Below are 21,173 nucleotides of genomic sequence, written 5' to 3' on the forward strand. Positions count from 1 at the left end.
AAGAGGAGGGGCAGAAGGAGTTCGGGGAGGCACAGGGTAGGAGCGGTGAGAGGGCCGTGGAGTCCCGCCCCTCGCCGCCGCGGTTGGCGGGAGCGTGTCGTGACGTCACACAGGGCCTCTCGAAGTGGGCTTGTGAATGGCTAGATTGGGAAGCACCGGCGGGGTGTCGGGAAGGGTGGTGACGCAACATAGAGACTCCGCCCCCTTCCTTGGAGCGCCGCGACTCGGGCTGAGGGAGCTCGGGCCAATCAGAGGGACGGCCCCAGAATGGCATGGTAACTATTCGACCCTTTCCTTGCCCCGGTCCGCCGGCGCTGCTGGGAAGGCTTCCTAGTCTCTCTGCCCGCACTTCCCGCCCAGACCACGTGCGGAGCCTGAGGGCCCTCTTGGAAGGTCTGTCTGTCCAAAGAGTTTGCCCGAGGCTTCTTCAGGGCCCTAAATCCTGACCCTATTCTCTCCTGACCCATGCTCGCCCCAGCACTTTCTTTCCCTCCCTGAATTTCTAGGATGGACATTAGGAGCATTAGAGATGCCCTAAGGGACTGGCCCACCAAAGGGCCTGGTACAAATGAGGATTGTTGGAACGTCTTTCCCAGCTGCACGTGGAGAACCCCTAATTCTTTTTTTTTCTTTTTCTTTTGAGATGAAGTCTCGCGTTGTCGCCTAGGGTGGAGTGCATTGGCGCAATCTCGGCTCACTGCAACCTCTGCCTCCCGGGTTCAAGCGATTCTCCCGCCTTAGCCTCCCAAGTAGCTGGGATTACAGGCGTCCGCCACCAGGCCCAGCTAATTTTTGTATTTATAGTAGAGACGGGGATTTCACTGTGTTGGTCAGGCTGGTCTCGAACTCCTGATCTCAAGTGATCCACCCGCCTCGGCCTCCCAAAGTGCTGGGATTACAGACGTGAGCCACCTCGCCCATGAACTAATTTTTTTTTTTTTTTTTGAGATGGAGTCTTGCTCTGTCTCCTCTTTCTCCCAGGCTGGAGTGCAGTGGCACGATCTCGGCTCACTGCAATCTCCGCCTCCCAGGTACAAGAGAGTCTCCTGTCGTAGCCTCCCGAGTAGCTGGGATTACAGGCACTCGCCGCCGCGCCCAGCTGATTTTGTATTTTTAGTAGAGATGGGGTTTCACCATGTTGGCCAGGCTGGTCTCGAACTCCGGAACTCAGGTGATCCGCCCGCCTCGGCCTCCCACAGTGCTGGCCTTACAGGCGTGAGCCACCGCGCCCAGCCGAACCCCTACTTATTCTTAAAGGACGGGTATTTCAAATGTTCCCATCTTCTCAGTGATACATTTGCCAAGCTTTCACAGCGAGTTGAGCTAATGCTTGGGCAGGCCTCTGTTAAAGCCTTGTCACTTTGTATCCTATTATTTACCCTCGGTTTTCTGTGCCTTGGGCTCTTCTTGGAAGTCCTTCTGGGGCCTAGCCCATTAGCAGAAAACTGATATTACAAGAGTGAAAGGTGGGCATTTTCTAGAAACTAGACCTGTTTAGTGACTGAGAGTCTCATAGCAGGAACTGTGCGCAGAAAGCAAAGCGTATACTGGCCGGGCTGGTGGCTCATGCCTGTAATCCCAGCACTTTGGGATGCTGAGGCGGGCAGATTATTTGAGGCCAGGAGTTCGAGACCAGCCTGGCCAACATGATGAAACCCTGTCTCTACTAAGAATACAAAAATTGGTCAAGCATGGTGGTGGGCACCTATAATCCCAGCTGCTTCTCGGTTTGCTGAGGCACGAGAATGGCTTGAACCAGGGAGGCGGAGATTACAGTGAGTGGAGATCCTGCCACTGCGCTCCAGAGTGATCTCAAAAAAAATTTTTAAAAAACCTCCACCACTACTCCTTTGTGAGACATGAATGCAAAATTGAACTGGGCTTTTACCTAAAATGTAAATGAGTTTAAAGCCATCTGGGTTTTCGGTGATGGCAAGGGATTAGAGATAATTGATTTATTTGTTTGTTTAAAAAATGGGAGACTGGGAGTGGTGGCTCACGCCTGTAATCCCAGCACTGGGGAGTTCAAGGTAGGAGGATCACTTGAACCCAGGAGTTCGAGACCAGCTCGGGCAACATAGTGAGTCCCCACCTATACAAAAAATTAACCAAGGCCAGGTGTGGTGGCAAGCGCCTGTGGTCCCAGCTACTAGGGAGGCTGAAGTAGGAGGATCGTTTGAGCCCAAGAGGTTAAAGCTACAGTGAGCTGTGATTACAGTCATGCCACTCCCGCCTGGGCAACAGACGGAGCCTCCGACTGGGGGAAAAAAAAGGTGGTGGGTTGTAAAGATGGAATAAGATAGTGGATGGAAGAAACACGGTACATTGTAGGTGCTCAGTAGATACTTGAAGGAAGAAGAAAATCAATATATGGTTGGCCAAATAGTAAAGTTACTTTAAACAACTGACTGCAGCCATCTTCCCCCAACTCCTCCATCCAAAACACCCCTACTTTACAACCACACTCCCTTGCCTTTGCTGGACTTTAGAAAGTCATTAACTCTCCCTAGATAGTTACAGTAGCTTCATAACTGCCCTCTGGAACATTTGATTTCTTGCCCTTTAATCTCCAAGCCCAATTATTTTTAAGGCTCTCTTCTACTGACTTATTTTGGTGTCCCTAAGGCAGGGCACATAGTAGGTACACATTAGATATTTGATGCACGAATGAGTGAATTATTTTCTTCAGTGGGGGATTAGTAGAGGTGTTGGACTTTGAGTCAGAGAACCCTGGTTTAAATTTGGATGCAGATTTAATTTAATTCAGTTTAAATTTATTTATTAATTTAATTTAATTCAGTTTAATTTAATTAAGAAATTTGGGCCAGGCGGGATGGCTCACGCCTGTAATCCCAGCACTTTGGGAGGCCGAGGTGGGCGGATCACGAGGTCAGGAGATCGAGACCAGCCTGGCTAACAGAAGGAAACCCCATCTCTACTGAAAATACAAAAAAATTAGCCGGGCGTGGTGGCACATACCTGTAGTCCCAGCTACTTGGGAGGCTGAGGCAGGAGAATTGCTTGAACCTGGGAGGCGGAGGTTGCAGTGAGCTGAGATCGAGCCACTGCACTCGATCCTGGGCCACAGAGTGAGACTCCGTCTCAAAAAAAAAAAAAAAAAAAAGAAATTTAGGCAAATTTCCTGCCGGGAATGGTGGCTCACGCCTATAATCCCAGCACTTTTGGAGGCTGAAGCAGGTGGATCACCTGAGGTCAGGAGTTCGAAACCCGCCTGGCCAACATGGTGAAACCCTGTCTCTACTAAATATACAAAAAATTAGCCGGGTGTGGTGGCTCATGCCTGTAATCCCAGCTACTTGGGAGGCTGAGGCAGGAGAATTGCTTGAACCGGGGAGGCAGAGGTTGCAGTGAGCTGAGATGGCACCATTGCACTCCAGCGTGGGCAACAAGAGTGAAAGTCTGTCTTCAAAAAAAAAAGAAAAGAAAGGAAAGAAAAAGAAATTTGGGCAAATTTCCTAATCCCTCTGAACCTCAATTTTCTTTTGTATAAAATGGGGATAACAACCACATTTGCCTTACAGGGTCGTAGTGAGCATTAAAAGAGAGAATACATTTAAAGCACTTAGCATAGTACCTGGCACAGATAAGGCCTCAATAAATGGTATTGTTTGCATTATTTAAAAATGTATCCCAGCCGGGCATGGTGGCTCAAGCCTGTAATCCCAGCACTTTGGGAGGCCGAGGCGGGCGGATCACAAGGTCAGGAGATCGAGACCATCCTGGCTAACATGGTGAAACCCCGTCTGTACTAAAAATACAAAAAATTAGCCGGGCGCGGTGGCAGGCGCCTGTAGTCCCAGCTATTCGGGAGGCTGAGGCAGGAGAATGGTGTGAACCCAGGAGGCGGAGCTTGCAGTGAGCAGAGATCGCGCCACTGCACTCCAGCCTGGGTGACAGAGCAAGACTCCATCTCAAAAAAAAAAAAAAAAAAAGTTTCCGGGCACGGGGGCTCACTCCTGTAATCCCAGCACTTTGGGAGGCTGAGGCGGGCAGATCACCTGAGATCAGGAGTTCAAGACCAGCCTGGCCAACACGGCGAAACCTCATCTCTACTAAAAATAAAAAAATTAGCCAGGCATAGTTGCCCACGCCTGTAATCCCAGCTAGTCGGGAGGCTGAGGCAGGAGAATCACTTGAACCCGGGAGGTGGAGGTTGCAGTGAGCCAAGATTGCACCACCATACTCCAGCCTCAGCCTGTGTGACAGAGGGAGATTCTGTCTCTAAATAAATAAATAAATAAATAAATAAAAATGTTGAGTTCCCATTCTAAATATTCTAAGACATTGATTCTGACACTGAAAGAGGACTCAGAAATGTCTTTTTTTCTTTTATTTCTTTTCCTTTTCCTTTTTTTTTTTTTTGCTATAAAATGGTTCTGAAAGAAATGTCTTGAATGAGTAAGCAAATGAGTACATTCAGTCCAAAGTACAAGTAGATGTGCAGGGAAATAGTGCATACTTGTGGAAAGACTGGAGGAATACGTACTGGATGAGGAATACTCCAAGGAAGAATTTCCTGTGACTTTGGTGATTTCTAAAGATACGTTGTTGGGTACTTTGGTAGGCAAGTAGCCCATGGCTCATCATTCCCAGAATTCCTGGCTGGGGAAGGACATCTTTGTGAAGCCAGGGGTTCCTTCCCACACTCCTACTCTGTCTAAATTCTGATAACACCTCTTTTAGGTATCATCATCTTCCTTCTTCCGTTCTAAAGACAAGGAGTTTGATGCTTACAAACCCTTTTGGAGCCAAGCCCTGTCCTGGACATCAAGAGCCCAGAGATGTCCACAGCTCAACACTATTCTGGCCAAGGAAAGTCCAGCTTTGTCCTAGGAGCCCCAGTATCATACACATGGCTTGAGAACTCACTGTATGCAGCTGTGAAGGATTGGTGGTTAGGGAGGAGACAGATCTGTAAGGACTGCAGAATTGTGGAAGGATGAGACTTCTTTCCAGAGAAGCAGCAGAATTGGAGTCAGAGCTAAGTTCAAGTTGTAGATCTGCTACTTTTTATATCTCGCCTAAGTTATTTAACCCTTCTCTGCCCCAATTCCTTGTCTATGACATGGGCAGAATACTTTGTATTTTGTTTTGTTTCTTTTTTTTTTTTTTTTTTGAGATGGAGACTGGCTCTTTTGCCTAGGCTGGAGTGCAGTGGCACCATCTCGGCTCACTGCAAGCTCCGCCTCCCGGGTTCACGCCATTCTCCTGCCTCAGCCTCCCGAGTAGCTGGGACTACAGGCGCCTGCCACCACACCCGGCTAATTTTTTTTTTTTCTTTTGGAGACAGAGTCTCACTCTGTCACCCAGGCTGGAGTGCAGTGGTGTGATCCCAGCTCACTGCAACCTCCGCCTCCTGGGTTCAAGCGATTCTCCTGCCTCAGCCTCCCGAGTAGCTGGGACTGCAGGCATGCGCCACCATGCCCAGTTAATTTTGTGTATTTAGTAGAGACAGGGTTTCACCATGTTAGCCAGGCTGATCTTGAACTCCTGACCTCAGATGATCCGCCCACCTCGGCCTCCCAAAGTGCTGGGATTACAGGCGTGAGCCACCACACCCGGCCCTGTTTTTTTTTTTTTAGTAGAGACGGGGTTTCACCATGTTAGCCAGGATGGTCTCGATCTCCTGACCTCATGATCCACCTGCCTCGGCCTCCCAAAGTGCTGGGATCACAGGCGTGAGCCACCGCACCCGGCCATTTTTGTTTTGTTTTTTTGAGATGGAGTCTCACTCTGTCACCCAGGCTGGAGTGCAGCGGTGCAGTCTCGGCTCACTGCAACCTCCGCCTCCTGGGTTCAAGCAATTCTCGTTCCTCAGCCTCCCAAGTAGCTGGGATTACAGGCTTCCACCACCACACCAGGCTAATTTTTATATTTTTGGTAGAGATGAGGTTTCACCATGTGGGCCAGGCTGGTCTCAAGCTCCTGACATTAAATGTTCCACCTGCCTTGGCCTCCCAAAGTGTTGGGATTATGGGCCTGAGCCACCGTGCCCAGCCAATACTTTGGCTTTTAACCAGAACATTTAGTCTAATGCATTTAACGAATTTACTGCTATATATATATATATTTTTTTTTTTGAGACACAGTCTCATTGTGTCGCCCAGGCTGGAGTGCAGTGGTGCGATCATGACTCACTGCAGCCTCTGCCTCCCAGGTTCAAGTGATTCTCGTGCCTCAGCCTTCCTAGTAGCTGGGACTTCAGGCGCGTGCCACCACGCCTGGCTAATTTTTGCATTTTTAGTAGAAAGAAGATTTTATCATGTTGGCCAGACTCGACTCAAACTCCAGACCTCAGGCGATCCGCCTGCCTCAGCCTACCAAAGTGCTGGGATTACAGGCATGAGCCACCATGCCCAGCCCATTTTTCCCACTATACTAGTTTGAAAGTTAAATTCTCTTTTCCTATTAGTATTATTTTAGTGATCTCCCTAGAAATTACCACATGCATTCTTAACTTACCAAAGTGTCATGCTCATAAATACCTTTACGGAAGGATAGAGTTTCCTGAGATGGAGGCAGGAAGAGAGAACATTCCAAGCTAGATGAACAGGGAAGCAAGCAGATGAACAGGGGAAGATTTAATTGCTATCTGAGTCAGAGTGAGGCTAGAGCAAGATGAGTGAGCTGGGGGTGGGTGGTTTAAAGCCATCCAGGAAGGATGTCTTGGTCATGAAAAAGATCTTTGAGAAGAACAAGAATAACTCCTCCTCAACCCAGGAAGGACACTGATTTTCCTGAGGCTTCCCAGGAGGCAGTGGCAGAGCTTGGTCTAAAGCTGGATGTCTTTAGCAGTCTATGTCCCTGCCTCTATACCTACCCCAGCCATGCTCACTGTGTCCCCTTTCTAGCAATTCCTCAATCTCTGCTTACCTGTCTAAATACTGCCCATTCTTCAAAACCCAGTTCCATTAAATCAACCCAACAAATATTTTCTTTTTATTTTTGTATTTTGTATTTTTATTTTTAATTTGTATTTATTTATTTTTTTGAGGTGGAGTCTCGCTCTCTCACCCAGGCTGGAGTGCAGTGGCGCAATGTTGGCTCACTGCAACCTCCGCCTCCTGGGTTCAAGCAATTCTCCTGCTTTAGCCTCCCAAGTAGCTGGGATTACAGGCGCCCGCCACCAGGCCTGGCTAATTTTTGTATTTTTAGTAGAGATGTGGTTTTGTCACGTTGGCCAGACTGGTCTCGAACTCGTGACCTCAGGTGATCTGCTCACATCAGCCTTCCAAAGTGCTGGGATTACAGGCGTGAGCCACCGCACCCGGCCCAAGAACTCTTTTTATTTCTTTTATCTTCCCTCACATAAATCAAGGTAGGCGAGGTCTTTCAAACTGATAGTGAAATAAAGAGATTTCAGAAAGGGTCGGTGACAGCCAAGGTCAGACAATACAAAAAAAGTTCAGGACGAGTTCACACTGTGGCTGACATGTCTAATCATAATGACCATCATGTACTGAGTACCTCCCACATGGCTGGCACACTGCTACATTACCTCTAATACAACAACCCTATGATGTGGATATTCTTTTTTTTTTTTTTTTTTTTGAGACTGGGTCTTGCTCTGTCACTCAGGCTGTTGTGGAGTGGTATGATCTCAGTTGACTGCAACCTCTGCCTCCAGGGTTCAAGCAATCCTCCCACCTCAGCCTCCTGAGTAGCTGGGAATACAAGTGTGTGCCACCACACCCAGCTAGTTTTCTGTATTTTTTGGTACAGATGCTGTTGCCATGTTGCCTAGGCTGGTCTTGAACTCCTGGGCTCAAGTGATCCTCCTGCCTTGGCCTCCCAAAGTGCTGGGATTACAGGTGTAAGCCACCACACCCAGTGTGGATATTCCTAAATCAATTTTACAGGCTGGGCACGGTGGCTCATGCCTGTAATCCCAGCACTTTGGGAGGCCAAGGAAGGAGGATCGCTTGAGCCTAGGAGTTCAAGACCAGCCTGGGCAAGACAGTGAGACCTTTTTTTTTTGAGACACGGTCTTGCTCTGTCTTCAGGCTGGAGTGCAGTGGCGCGATCTCGGCTCACTGCAACCTCTGCCTCCCAGGTTCAGGTGATTCTCCTGCCTCAGCCTCCCAAGTAGCTGGGACTACAGGTGCGCGCCATCACGCCTAGCTAATTTTTGTATTTTTAGTAGAGACAGGGTTTCACCATGTTGGCTAGGATTGTCTCGATCTCTTGACCTTGTGATCCGCCCACCTTGGCCTCCCAAAGTGCTGGGATTACAGATGTGAGCCACCACGCCCCCGCGAGACCTTGTTTTAAATAAATAAATAAAACCATTTTATAGACGAGGAAACAGAGGCTCAGGGCTATATGGAGAATTGCCCATATTTCCCAAATCACCAGAGAATTAAAGAATTAATCTAAATTAGAGCACCTCAAGGTTTGGGCATTGGGGGTAGTCTAGAGGCAGGGAGAGGGGACCCAGCCTCAGGGAATGGTACTTAGGGCCAAGAGAACAGACAAGGTGTCAAGATAGGGAACAATAGCCAGGAGCAGACACCCCTGGTTGGAGCTAGACAAAGAGGATGACATGAAGCCCCAAGGCAGAAAACCTGAATCTAGTTGCCAAATTTGGAGAGAGGTAGTTCTTTTTGTAAAGTTTTGCTAGTCCATTTGTCCTGGGACCTTAAAGAACAGGATAGGGGAGAACTCAAAATCAAGAAAAGTAGTTTTTAGAACAAGACACTCTGAGTGCGCACCTTCTCCAGACTTCGGAGCCCCTCAGAGTGCGTCTGAGGTATCTCTGGGTCCTCCACCATTGCTCCACATGAGGCCTGTCAAAGAGAGGGCCTAGACTGGGTGAATGAACAAAAGTGAACACATGAAAAAGAGCTCTGGCAAATTAATCAACAAATGCTAAGTGGCATTAACAGCATATAGTGGATTATGTGAATTATCTCAGGTACCAGACTTGAGTCCTGGTTCTGGCATGTATTAGCTGTGTAAGTAGGTAACTTGGTTTCCCTGTTTTCCATTGTAAAATGAGGATATTAAATAGTATCTACTGGCGGAGGCTCATGCCTGTAATCCCAGCACTTTGGGAGGCCAAGGCAGGTGGATCACCTGAGGTCAGGAATTCGAGACCAGCCTGACCAATATGGCGAAACCCCATCTCTACTAAAAGTACAAAAATTAGCCGGGCATGGTGGTGCCGCCTGTATTCCCAGCTACCCGGGAGGCTGAGATAGGAGAATTGCTTGAACCCGGGAGGTGGAGGTTGCAGTGAGCCGAGATCGTGGCACTGCACTCTAGCCTGGGTGACAGAGTGAGACTCTGTCTCCAAAAAAAAAGAGAGAAAGAAAGAAAAAAAAAAGGCCAGGCGCGGTGGCTTACACCTGTAATCCCAGCTCTTTGGGAAGCCAAGGCGGGGGCAGATCACGAGGTCAGGAGTTTGACACCAGCCTGGCCAAAATGGCAAAACCTCGCCTCTACTAAAAACTACAAAAATTAGCTGGGCGCAGTAGCGGGCGCCTGTTAATTCCAGCTACTCGGGAGGCTGAGGCAGGAGAATCGCTTGAACCCTGGAAGCGGAGGTTGCAGTGAGCCGAGATCGTATCTATTTTCACAGGTTTTTTTTTTTTTTTTTAATGGAGTTTCGCTCTTGTCGCCCATGCTTGAGTGCAGTGGTACGATCTCAGCTCACTGCAACCTCTGCCTCCCGGGTTCAAGCGATTCTCCTGCCTCAGCCTCCCAAGTAGCTGGGATTACGGGCGCCCGCCACCGTGCCCGGCTAATTTTTGTATTTTTAGTAGAGACGGGGTTTCGCCATGTTGGCCAGGCTGGTGTCAAACTCCTGACCTCAGGTGATCCGCCCGCCTCGGCCTCCTAAAGTGCTGGGATTACAGGCGTGAGCTACCGCGCCTGGCCCTCACAGGGTTTTTATGAGGATTAAATAAATGAGATAAGAAGTAAGAGTGCCTGGGATATACTGGGTGTTCAGAATGTGTTATTGCTGTGAGGATTTAAGTGGAAAAGTGCGATGTTAGGTATGGCTAACTTAGAGGTCCTCCACCCGCTGCAGATGCTCTGACTACCCACCAGTGTGCTTGCAGGAGGAATTCTTGGTCCCTTCACCCTCCTTCCCTGTTGGGCTGGGATGGTCTTTGCAAAGGGAGCCAGGGGTCCCCCTCAAGTTCTTTCATGGGTCAGTCATGGTCAGGGTAGGGAGGGAACTCTGGCAGCTGGTTTTGGGGGATCAATCCTCTCATTGTGGGGAGACCCAAGGCTGGTGGCTGGAAATCCTTTCTGCGCTACGTAGGACAGGGCGCCCTCTCCTGAACAAAGGCGGGAACAGCTCTAGGCCAGAGTTTCTGGGATGTGCCTCACCGGGTCTCACTGCCTGCAAAGGTGCTCTTCCCATTGCTGAAATGTCCCCAACCGCCCTGACGAGCAAAGTTTGGGGGAGGGGCGCCAGGGCTGGGAGGAAACTGGCTTAATGTTTCAGAAGGGCGAGGCTGGATAGTTCGGTTAGAATGGAGGTGCGAGGCAGGAGAGACGGGCGGATGAGAAAGAAATCCGGCCCCTGTTGAATTAATTTTGTGTTCTTTCAACAGGTAGATGGAACGCAGCTGAGAGGTAAGGCGACAAGGTGGCTTATCCAACATGCTCAAACTCAGGTATCCAGAGCTCTTCCGGCTGCCCTCACGCAGCCGAAATTAGTGGGGGCAGACCCGGGCTGTAAAGCATGGTTTGAGGACACGCCAGATTGAGGAGGAGAGCCAGGGGTCGGGGTCTCCAGAAGCGGGGAGGAGCCAGCGGAGGATCTGGGCGCAGTTTCCTCTCTAAGTTCCGCCCCGAGAGCGCCGGCCCCGCCCCCGCCGTTCGCGCTCTGACCAGCCCGCAGAGCCAGCCCCCGACCCCGGGCCACCTGGGCCCCCGGGTTCCGCCGGCACTCTCGCCACCACCGCGTGGGTGAGTATGGGCATGGATGTGCTGGGCTGCCGGGCAGCCCCACTCGGGAGCTTGGCCGCGCGGTCTGGCCTCTGCAGGGCCGGGCCCCACGCTGTGGGAGTCCTGGTACCTGCCGTCCTATCGCACACACTCTGTTTCCCAGGAACTGCTGCTCTCTGGACTTGCCGAGCTGGCCCCCTTCTTCTCCCTCCCCAGCGTGGGGCCGGGTGTGCAGGGGTTGAGCTCTCCCTTTATTCCGCGGGGCCTCCTGGTCAGGAGTCCTAGGTGGGGAGGATGGGGCCCCGGGGTTGGAACCCCATAGAGTAGTTTTGAATGGCAGCTGTGCCATTTATTAGCCTTGGCCTTGAGTAAGTGTTTTGAACCTCCCTGAGCCTCAGTTTCCTCATCTGTAAAATGGAAATATACAGGCTGTAGCACCTACCTCATAGAATTATGGTGAGATTAAAAGAGACAATGTATATCAAGTACAGAGCAGGGGGCCTAGTATTCCGTAGGCACTCAGTAAATGTGGGTTCAGACTCGAGGCTGAGGAGATCTCTAGGGACTTTGGAGCTGAGGTAGCTCCAAAGAAAGCAATTTTCAGCTAAGTAGTACCTGTGAGGAATGTAGAACTATCTGCAGGCTGAACAATTGCCCTTCAGCTCCACCCTGAGGTGTGGAGTAGAATGACCAAGTTGGAAGGACCTTAGAGGTAATCTAAACCATGTGATTCCCATGTTGCAGAACTGTGGAAACAGATCTAGAGTGCTTAAGTGGCTTGCCAAAGGTCACACAGCTAAATGGGAGGCCAGGCATACCTCCAAGAATTGGAATGGATTATCCCTTGAACCTCCTCATCAACTCCTGATTTGGGCAGTGCCTCTTCATTCCCTGAAGATCTAGTCTTCAATTTGGGAATCCTAGTGGTTCCTCAGGGATCTAGAGCTGCAGCCTTCAGGGAGGGATACTGGGAGGGAAGACTAGTGCTACTGCAACTGCAGAGTCTAGGTTTGGGCTGGGTGAGGAAAATGTTCCCCATCTAGGGCCCTAAGGGACTTAGAGTCCATTTAGGGATGATCCAGGGAATGTGTTTTTTTTCTGGGAGGGTCACCAGAGCCACTTCCAGCTCCCTGGGATCCCTGATGCTCCTAAAAGGGAGAGAGGAACTTGAGCAATTGGAGCAGGCTGCCTGATCAGGTCTGGCAGCTGGGGGAAAATGGGTGAGAATGTGGAGGCGTAGCCACCTGGCTTGTTCTGGAATGCCAGGATGGCAACCTAACTGAGATCAGGGTTCTTTTTGAGGGTGGGACTAAAGGGAGAGTCTTGTGGGTGGGGTCAGGAAGAGTTGGGACTTGATTTGACAAGGTCTTTGAGCCCAGAAGGGTATATTCTTTATGTGTCTGGAGCCAGCCCTAGCTTGGCAACAACAAGCCAACGTTCCAGGGATGGCTTTCCCTTCAGCTCAGCACAGGGCTTTGAGGAAGAGCCAGCCCTTCTCTCTCTCTGAGTGTCTTGGTTTCTCTATCTTTACAATGGGAATAGGGCTAACTGCCTCATCTATGTAGATTTTGGTTTTTCCTTTTCTTCCTCCTGTGAACAGGTGCCTCTTCTGCCTCTCTCACTCCAGTCCTAACCTGACCTTTCTCAAGTTCAGACACAGAGAGGAAGGGGTCAAGGAAGGCCAGAGTTGCAGTGTGTAACTCTTCGTGGGTCCCACATGTATCTCTTTGTTATGTGATCCTGAGCAGATTCCTGCTCCAACTTTCCCTTCTGTATACTGTGCGGAGCTGGGCTAGGATTGTTGGTATACACTTATTTGTTATAGTTCCTGACCTTAGCTACCCTTATCTAAGGGGGAAATCACAGCCCCCAGGAACCCTCATCTGTTCACAGGAGGGTGATGTGGACAGCCCCCTGGGCACTGGGAAGCCTCCAGAAGCTGACCAAGCAGCTCTCTCCAGCAAACAGCAATCCCAGGCTAGCACCAGGCCTGATTCTGCAAAGCCTTTCACCCTGGGGGCACGTGAGGGAGCAGGCTGGGACAAGCAGGGGGCTTGGGGTTCTGTCAGCTTCCATGGAATCCCTGCCACTGTGGACTGCGGTGCAGGCACACAGAGCCTGGGAAGGGACTGAAGGTGCAGGAGGGCCCTGGGCCAGTGGGGAAGCAAATGAGAGCTGATGAGAGGCCTTGAAGCCTGGAGGCTGGGCCGAGGCTCAAAGGCCTGGGGGAGGAGATGGGCCATGCCATCCACTGGTAGGTTTTAGGGTTGGTTCTTGAAATAAAGAGAGACACTTATTTAAAGCAGCTTCTCTAGTCCTAGGCCTGTCAAGCTAGGCAGAGAGGAGTGAGGAGAAGCTCTCCCAGTCCATTCAAGCTTTATCCTAGCACAGATTTGGTTCATTGTCTTCCCTCTGAAATTGAGGTGGAATGTTGTCTTGGGATTCTGAGTCAGTCTTCCTCATCCAGGGCAAGAGCTATCCAAGTTTAGGTGCCTTCCTCCTCAGACTCCCCACCCCACAGCACACAGCTAATTTTAGGACTGAGCACAAGGGCTGACTTTATCACTGAGTGCCAGCCTGGCTGCCTGGGGCCCTGACAGCATGCCACTCCATCCCCAGGTCTGACAAGATGTACCAGGTCCCACTACCACTGGATCGGGATGGGACCCTGGTACGGCTCCGCTTCACCATGGTGGCCCTGGTCACGGTCTGCTGTCCACTTGTCGCCTTCCTCTTCTGCATCCTCTGGTCCCTGCTCTTCCACTTCAAGGAGACAACGGCCACACACTGTGGGGTAGGGCATGGGGACACTGATACCTCATATTCAGGCCGATCTGGATCTTCTTTAGATCTTGAATATCTTTTAACAAGATTAGCCAGCTCTCCACTGGGGCCCATCAAACATACGGGGCTGCTGGGGGGATGCCTGCAAATTGAAATCTCAAGGGTTAGTCTCCCTCTGCCTTCTGTGAGGTTCTGGAGGCTGGAGTCACTGAAGTGTAATATAGAGTCAGTAAATGAATTACAAGTATAACAGAGTTTGACACATGTCCCACCCCATTTACTTTGATATCCTAGAGAAAGTGGTCTTACATCTTTCTTCCTGGCCCCGCGCCCCATATCCCTGTCCAGAGGGCAGACCTAGAGCCAAATCCTTACTTCATAGAAGAGCAGATTCTGGAACCCCAGGGTTTCTGGGAAGTGGAGAGAGAACAGGATTGGGCTAGAGGGTATTTTGGGCCTCTTAATGTAGCACTATGGGCTTGTGCCTGTCTCTGTAGGAATGTGACTCAGTATATGTGTGTGTGATTGTGAGGGTCATGACTGTATATAATGGGTTTGAGTGGGTCGTGTGTGAGAGAGACTATATCTGTGCCTGTCTGTATGGAGATCTGATTATGTACGTGTGTATGTGTCCTGGGGTGAGTCCCGTGGCCTCTAAGATTCCATAGATGTCTGTGTACCCTCTGGACAGGGATATGGGGTGCGGGGCCAGGAAGAAAGATGTAAGACCACTTTCTCTAGGATATCAAAGTAAGTGGGGTGGGACATATGTCAAACTCTGTTATACTTGTAATTCATTTACTGACTCTATATTACCTGAGACAGAGACCCAGCCTCAGTTTCCTCATGTCTGAAATAGAATTGATTAGCTGGGCATGGGGGTATGCACCTGTAGTCCTAGCTCCTCAGGAGCCTGAGGTGGGAGGATTGCTTGAGCCTAGAAGTCTGAGGCTGGAGTGAGCTATGGTTTTCTCACTGTACTTCAGCCTGATGACATAGTGAGACCCCCATTTCTAAAAAATAAAATAGGGTTGATAATTCCTGTCCTGCTCCTTCCCAGGGCTAGTGTAGAGCTCTAGGTAGAAGAAGGATAGGAAGGTAGTTTAGGGAGGATGATGAAATGTGAGGAGCAGAAGGAGGAGGAGGAAGAGACTGTCAGGTTGGAAGGCAGGGCAGGAAATGAACTTAACCTAGGGGCTTTAGGTGGAGAAGAGGCAGATTCTGCGCATGGACCATTGGGGTCCCTCAGAGTTCTGAAGGCCCCAGCCAGCTGGATCCCCACTTCATGTAAAGAGCATCTGCTTCAGAGAAATGGCTAGGATTAGCAGTGGGGTCTAGCTGTGAGTATGGGGTGGAGCCCCACTTCTTTACTTCATGTGACTGGAGTTTCCTCTCCTCCTGATTTGTCAGTGGGTAGACATGGGTGTTGAGGTATGGACACCCAATCTGATGAGACCTGGGGCTGGGAGCTATTAGAAAGAACTGGACGAAAAGGGCGAACAGGCGATCTGAAGGGAAGGAGTACCCTTTTGTGACCTAGTACATGACCTAGTACCTATTATCTCAGATAATGCATCAGATATTCCTGTTACGCTAGCCACTCCTGATCATCCCGCAAAACCCTGCCCCGCTAGCTCTAAAATGTCTTCCCTATCCTCCTTGGGGCTAATGTAATCACTCCCTCCTCTGGGTGCCCACAGTTCCCTGTGTTATCTATCACATCATATTTGTGTCTGTCTTCCCAACCAGATGGGGATCTCCTTGAAGGCAGGCACTGCATTTGAGTGAGAAAGTATTTGGGTTTTTTTATTTGTTTTAGAGGCAGGGTCTCATTTCCGTCACCCAGGCCAGAGTGTAGTGGCATGATCATAGCTCACTGCAGCCTCAAACTCCTGGGATCAAGCAGTCTTCCTAACCTCAGACTCCTGAGTAGTTAGGACTACAGATGTGAGCCACTACACCCAGCTTAATTAAAAAAAAAATTGTGGAGATGGGGTCTCGCCATGTTGCCTAGGCTGGAGTGCAGTGGCATGATCATAGCTCACTGCAGCCTCAACCACCAGGGCACAAGTAATCCTCCTGCCTCAGCCTCCTGAGTAGCTAGGACAATAGGTATGCACAACCATGCCCAGCTAATTTTTGTGTATGTGTGTGGAGACGGGGTCTCACACTGTTGCCCAGGCTGGTCTTGAACTCCTGACCTCAAGTGATCCTCCCACCTCGACTCCCAAAGCACTGGGATTATAGGCGTGAGCCACTGTGCCTGGCCAGAAAGTGTTGGTTGAATAAATGATTAAGACTCCCTAGCCCAGTGCCCTGGGGAAAGGAAGGCATGGTATAAGTCAATCATAGTCCAAGCAAAATTATAATATTTGTATAGTATATGGAGTTAAACAGACTAGGCTGTTTGCTCTGCCCCTTATGGCTGACCCCAAGGGCTGATGGCATCAATACCCTATTAGCTAGGTTATTGCATACCTTGCATACCTATTACCTGTTCTGGGCATACCAGTTAGGGAATTAAGATATAGATAGTTGCTGGAGTACTTGGTCCCTCTGGAGCAGTACTAGGTCTGTGACCCTGAGGGTATGTTGTCCCCACTGCCTGAGCCTACGGTGTTGGTTCCACCTTGGAATTTTTATATTTGCTCTGAATTTCCCACTCAGAGTATCCCAGAAATGGCCAGCCCTAGGAATAAAAGAAGCAAGCTAGTCCATCATATCTGTAATTGATTACTTTGCCTCTGCTCGCATATCCCCAGTGATGGGGAGCTTCCTTCCTCCCCAGGTAGCCTGTTCTAAGGAAGCTTAATAACTAATAATTAGCCTTTTTCTTTTATTTTCTTTCTTTATTTTTATTTAGATGTAGTCTCACTCTGTCGCCTAGGCTGGAGTGCAGTGTTGTGATCTCAGCTCACTGCAACCTCCGCCTCTTGGGTTCAAGCAATTCTCCTGCCTCAGCCTCCTGAGTAGCTGGGATTACAGGTGCCCGCCACCACACCTGGCTAATTTTTGTATTTTTGGTATTGACGGGGTTTCGTCATGTTGGCCAGGCTCGTCTCGAACTCCTGACCTCAGGTGATCCACCTGCCTTGGCCTCCCAAAGTGCTAGGATTAAAGGCGTGAGCCACCATGCCCAGCCTCTTTTTTTTTTCTTTCTTCTTCTTTTTTTTCTTTTAACAGAGATAGTTTCTCACTATGTTGCCCAGGCTGGTCTTCAACTCCTGAGCTCAAGTGATCCTCCTGCCTCAGCCTTCCAGAGTGCTAGGATTACAGGCTTGAGCCACTGTGCCTAGCCCAAGCTTTTTCTTTCCTTCTTTCCTTCTTTCCTTCTTTTCTTTCTTTCTTTCTTTCTTTCTTTCTTTCTTTCTTTCTTTCTTTCTTTCTTTCTTTCTTTCTCTTTCTTTCTTTTTTTCTTTTTTTCCTTCTTTCTTTCCTTCTTTCTTTCTTTTCTTTCTTTTCTTCCTTTCCTTCCCTTTCCCTTTCCCTTGCCCTTTCCCTTTCCCTTTCCCTTTCCTTTCCTTTCTTTTCTTTTCTTTTTGAGGCAGGGTCTTGCTCTGTTGCCCAGGCTGGAGTGCAGTGGCACAATCTTGGCTCACTGCGACCTCTGCCTCCTGGGTTCAAGCCATTCTTATGCCTCAGCCTCCCGAGTAGCTGAGATTACAGGCATGCACCACCGTGCCTGGCTCATTTTTTGTATTTTTAGGAGAGATGGGGTTTCACTATGCTGGCCAGGCTGAAGCTTTTACTTATAGTGAGTATGTACTTACTTTCCGGTGAGTCTCTGCCTTGGCCCTGGCTCTGCTTTGCCGTAGAACTATTCTCTCCTCGTGGCTTCAGGTCAGCCCTGTAGAGACAAGAAGACAGTAATGAGGGGCCTTGAGTCTGTCTTCTTCTTTTTTTTTTTTTCTTGAGATGGAATCTCGCTTTGTCACCCAGGCTGGAGTGCAATGGCACGATCTCGGCTTACTGCAACCTCCGCCTCCCAGGTTCAAGCGATTCTCCTGTCTCAGCCTCCCGAGTAGCTGGGATTACAGGCACACCGCCACCATGACTGGCTAACTTTTTGTATTTTAGTAGTGACGGGGTTTCACTGTGTTACCCAGGCTGGTCTCGAACTCCTGACCTCAGGCAATCCAGTTCCTTCAGGCAACCTTCCAAGGAAATGGTTTCCAGGCTCTTCCCTATCCTGAATGTACCGTTGAACTTGGCCCAGTTTGTCACTGTTCTCTGCTGGGCCTTGATTTGGGTATAGAACTCCAGGTGGCCTGGGCAGTACAGGCAAAAGCAGGACTATTCATTCTTATTCCTGGCTGTTAGACCTCTGTTGAGGCAGCCTGAGCTGCTATTAGCTGTTTCTGCACAGGTACAGGCTGAACATCGATATCTCATATTCAGGCTTGTTGAGATCTCTTTTGTATCCTGCTTCTGTCATCATAGGATTTAGCCATTTCTCCAGTGAGGCCCAACAAGCCCTCTCAGTCCTGCTCTAACAAAAAACGGCCAGACCCCTTTTTGCTTTCTCTCTTTCCCTTATTGGAAACCTGCCTATGACCCTGGATACAACTCTCAGGAAGGTCCCTGCCCCCATCACTGGCAAAGAAGCTACTGCCAGCTGACCTCAGCCACTATCACTTCTTCCCTTTGCAGAGTGTTCTAGGATTTATGACATATGCTTGTTGATCCTGGGAAGGATGTGTGCCTGGGCAGGCGTGGAGAATTGGGTACTGTGGGCGGGAGGGCAGGCCCTGAGGAGCAGGGGGTGGGATCCTCCAGTCTTAGAATAGTCCCAGTCTGGCTACAACCTTCAACCCAAGACCCGGATTCTTCAGCACCGAGTGTGAGTGTTCCTTCATGAGGCCCCCACCCCATTCCTGGGTCTCCTTAGTGGAGGGAAGTATGAGTGCCGAGGGGAGATTGGGTCCTAGGCCTTTTAATATCAAGCCATCTCTGTCTGCCTCAGCTTGATCCAGAGGGAAGCCCAGCTTGAGGGGTCAAGGTGTTTGGGCAGTGGGGTTGTGAGGGGGAGTTGTCGGCCAGGAGGGAGAAGAGATTGGAAGAAGCTCAGTTCCCTGGGTCTGGGTCTGACCTGGACAGAGATCTCCTGGGTCTGGCCCAGGACAGCAGGCTCAAGCTCAGTGGAGAAGGTTTCCATGACCCTCAGATTCCCCCAAACCTTGGATTGGGTGACATTGCATCTCCTCAGAGAGGGAGGAGATGTAGGTCTGGGCTTCCACAGGGACCTGGTATTTTAGGATCAGGGTACCGCTGGCCTGAGGCTTGGATCATTCAGAGCCTGGGGGTGGAATGGCTGGCAGCCTGTGGCCCCATTGAAATAGGCTCTGGGGCACTCCCTCTGTTCCTAGTTGAACTTGGGTAAGGAACAGGAATGTGGTCAGACAGGGTCAGTGGGAGGGCTTTGGCCATTCTGAGCCAACGGTCCTTTGTTAGTTGGCCTGAAAGAAGCCATGACTTAGAACCTGAAGCTGTCAGGTGGCAAGAGGCCTTAGTCCTGGTGTTTGATCCTGGCATAGTTCTGGGCCTCAGTCTCCCCTTCTGTGAAATGGGAATAATAACCTTTCTACCTCTGACCCTTCTCCTGAGTGGCTATGAGGGTTGTGAGAGTGAGGTGGGCCACCAGAGCTCCCTGTCCAAGCCACCGGGAGCCTCTCTTCTGTAGGCTCTTCAAGAGGTGGACCTAGAGTATCACTGTGCCAGGGGGATTCCTAAGCTCTGACCCTGCCTGTCTCTGCTGCTCCTGCCCCATCTCCCTCTGATCCTTCTCCTCTGCACTGTCTTCCTTTTCCCCTTATGCCTTTTCTACCCTTTCTGCTCTGGCTTTTCCTTATACTCTGAGGAGCCATCTCTGGAAAAGGCCCCACTTTCCCAGACCCAGGTGTCCTACCAGGCCCCAAGTTGTATCCCTCGTGCTGCTTAGGCCACGCCCTGCAGGATGTTCTCTGCGGCCTCCCAGCCTTTGGACCCCGATGGGACCTTGTTCCGGCTTCGCTTCACAGCCATGGTCTGGTGGGCCATCACTTTTCCTGTGTTCGGCTTCTTCTTCTGCATCATCTGGTCCCTGGTGTTCCACTTTGAGTACACGGTGGCCACTGACTGTGGGGTGAGTGCCAGCTCCCCAGCCCCTGGGTCAGGGCCAGGTCAGGAGGTGGCAGTTAGGGTAGAATTAGATAGTGGAGAGGAAGTGGAGGATCAGAGAGAGGGAAAGGGACAAGGGGATGGGGGAAGGGTAGGTAAGTCAGAGTCAGAGATAATTCATGGGGGGAGACTCAGAGAGAATAGAATCACAGTCCTCCCTGAGTTGGAAGATGATGATAGAAATGCAAGGGAGATGACGGGCGCAGTGGCTCATACCTGTAATCTCAGCACCTCGGGAGGGCGAAGCCAGTGGATCACTCGAGTTCAGTTCGAGACCAGCCTGGGCAACATGGTGAAACCCCGTCTGTACAAAAAATGCAAAAAAATTAGCTGGGTGCCCTGGCATGCCCCTGTAGTCCCAGCTACTTGGGAGGCTAAGGCAGGAGAATTGCTTGAGGCTGGGAGGTGGACATTTCAGTGAGCTGAGTTCACACCATTATACTCCAGCCTGGGTGACAGGAGTAAAACCCTGTCTCAAAAACAAAACAAAATAAAAAAAAAAAAACAGCAGGCTGTGCACTGTGGCTCATGCCTGTAATCCCAGCACTTTGAGAGGCCGAGGTGGGAGGATCACCTGAGGTCAGGAGTTTGAGACCAGCCTGGCCAACATGGTAAAACCCTGTCTCTACTAAAAAATACAAAAAAATTAGCTGGGCATGGTGATGTGTGCCTGTAATCCCAGCTACTCAGGAGGCTTGAGGCAAGAGAATTGCTTGAACCCGGGAGGCAGAGGTTGCAGTGAGCCAAGATCGTGCCAAAAAAAAAAAAAAAAACAATAACAGTGCAAGGGAGTTGGGGGTTAGAGGGAGGTGATAGGGGAAGAGAAGGGATTGGAATGGGCAGGAGAGATCATGAGAGGAAGGAGGCAGATTGGAAAGGAAGCCAGGACTGAGGAGGTAAAATGAGGCCAGAAGATGGGAGATGTAACAAGTGGCTTTGGCCCAGACTCGGGGACTGACCTTGGAGGATCCATCCTCAGCTCTGATCTGGATCCTCAAGCTTTGTTTCTCCTACTGGCAGCCCCAGGCCCCACCACCTGTATCCACTCAGGGATCTGCCAGCCAGAAACCTGGATGGACTTCTGTCTCCCACAATCAGTCCACTAGGCCTTTCCTGGGGGCCCAGGGATAAAGGTTCTGTTGTGCTAGGGGCATGGAATTAGATATGGACTTGCCCTTAACATCTCAATGTTACAAGAATCAATCCTTAGACACAGACTGTCACAACACAGTGGTCTGGGGTTCCTATTATGATTAAAAAAAGAGTACAGTGACTGTGGGGCTCAGAGGAGGCACTTCACGCAGCTTGGA

The 21,173-nt window shown here is 50.1% G+C and overlaps 1 protein-coding gene and 1 long non-coding RNA gene across 66 annotated transcripts in view, besides 1 other annotated feature; one reads left to right on the forward strand and one right to left on the reverse strand.

Moving 5' to 3' along the window:
- PGAP2 (post-GPI attachment to proteins 2) overlaps positions 13-21,173 on the forward strand; it is a 28,652-nt gene continuing 7,491 nt past the window's right edge. For 8 of the 65 annotated variants that reach the window (NR_104271.2, NR_045926.2, NR_045925.2 and 5 more), the window contains exons 1-3: positions 191-275; positions 10,587-10,608; positions 13,543-13,717. Coding sequence is in view for 43 of the 65 variants with exons in the window: in NM_001346402.2 (NP_001333331.1) it covers positions 273-275; positions 10,587-10,608; positions 13,543-13,717 (200 nt within the window). In the remaining 22 variants the exon portion in view is untranslated. Of the gene's footprint in view, positions 37-111; positions 394-10,302; positions 10,381-10,586; positions 10,609-10,852; positions 10,945-13,542; positions 13,718-17,553; positions 18,548-19,597; positions 19,829-21,173 lie in introns of those variants that run through there. The other 57 variants (NR_045929.2, NR_144429.2, NR_027016.3 and 54 more) reach the window with 25 other exon arrangements.
- Positions 10,774-11,103: a silencer, noted in NCBI's record as "silent region_3084". NCBI's record gives its function as "represses an Ori minimal core promoter by ATAC-STARR-seq in GM12878 lymphoblastoid cells {active_cell/tissue: GM12878}" and the evidence as "EXISTENCE:reporter gene assay evidence [ECO:0000049][PMID:35858748]".
- On the reverse strand, positions 13,458-19,695 carry LOC124902618 (uncharacterized). The gene is made up of 3 exons (XR_007062559.1): positions 19,613-19,695; positions 17,478-17,554; positions 13,458-13,849 (listed from the first exon to the last, which is right to left on the reverse strand). It is a non-coding gene; the product is annotated as an uncharacterized LOC124902618 (long non-coding RNA).

The sequence above is a fragment of the Homo sapiens genome, chromosome 11, assembly GCF_000001405.40.
Source record: "Homo sapiens chromosome 11, GRCh38.p14 Primary Assembly".
Taxonomy (NCBI): Eukaryota; Metazoa; Chordata; class Mammalia; order Primates; family Hominidae; genus Homo; species Homo sapiens.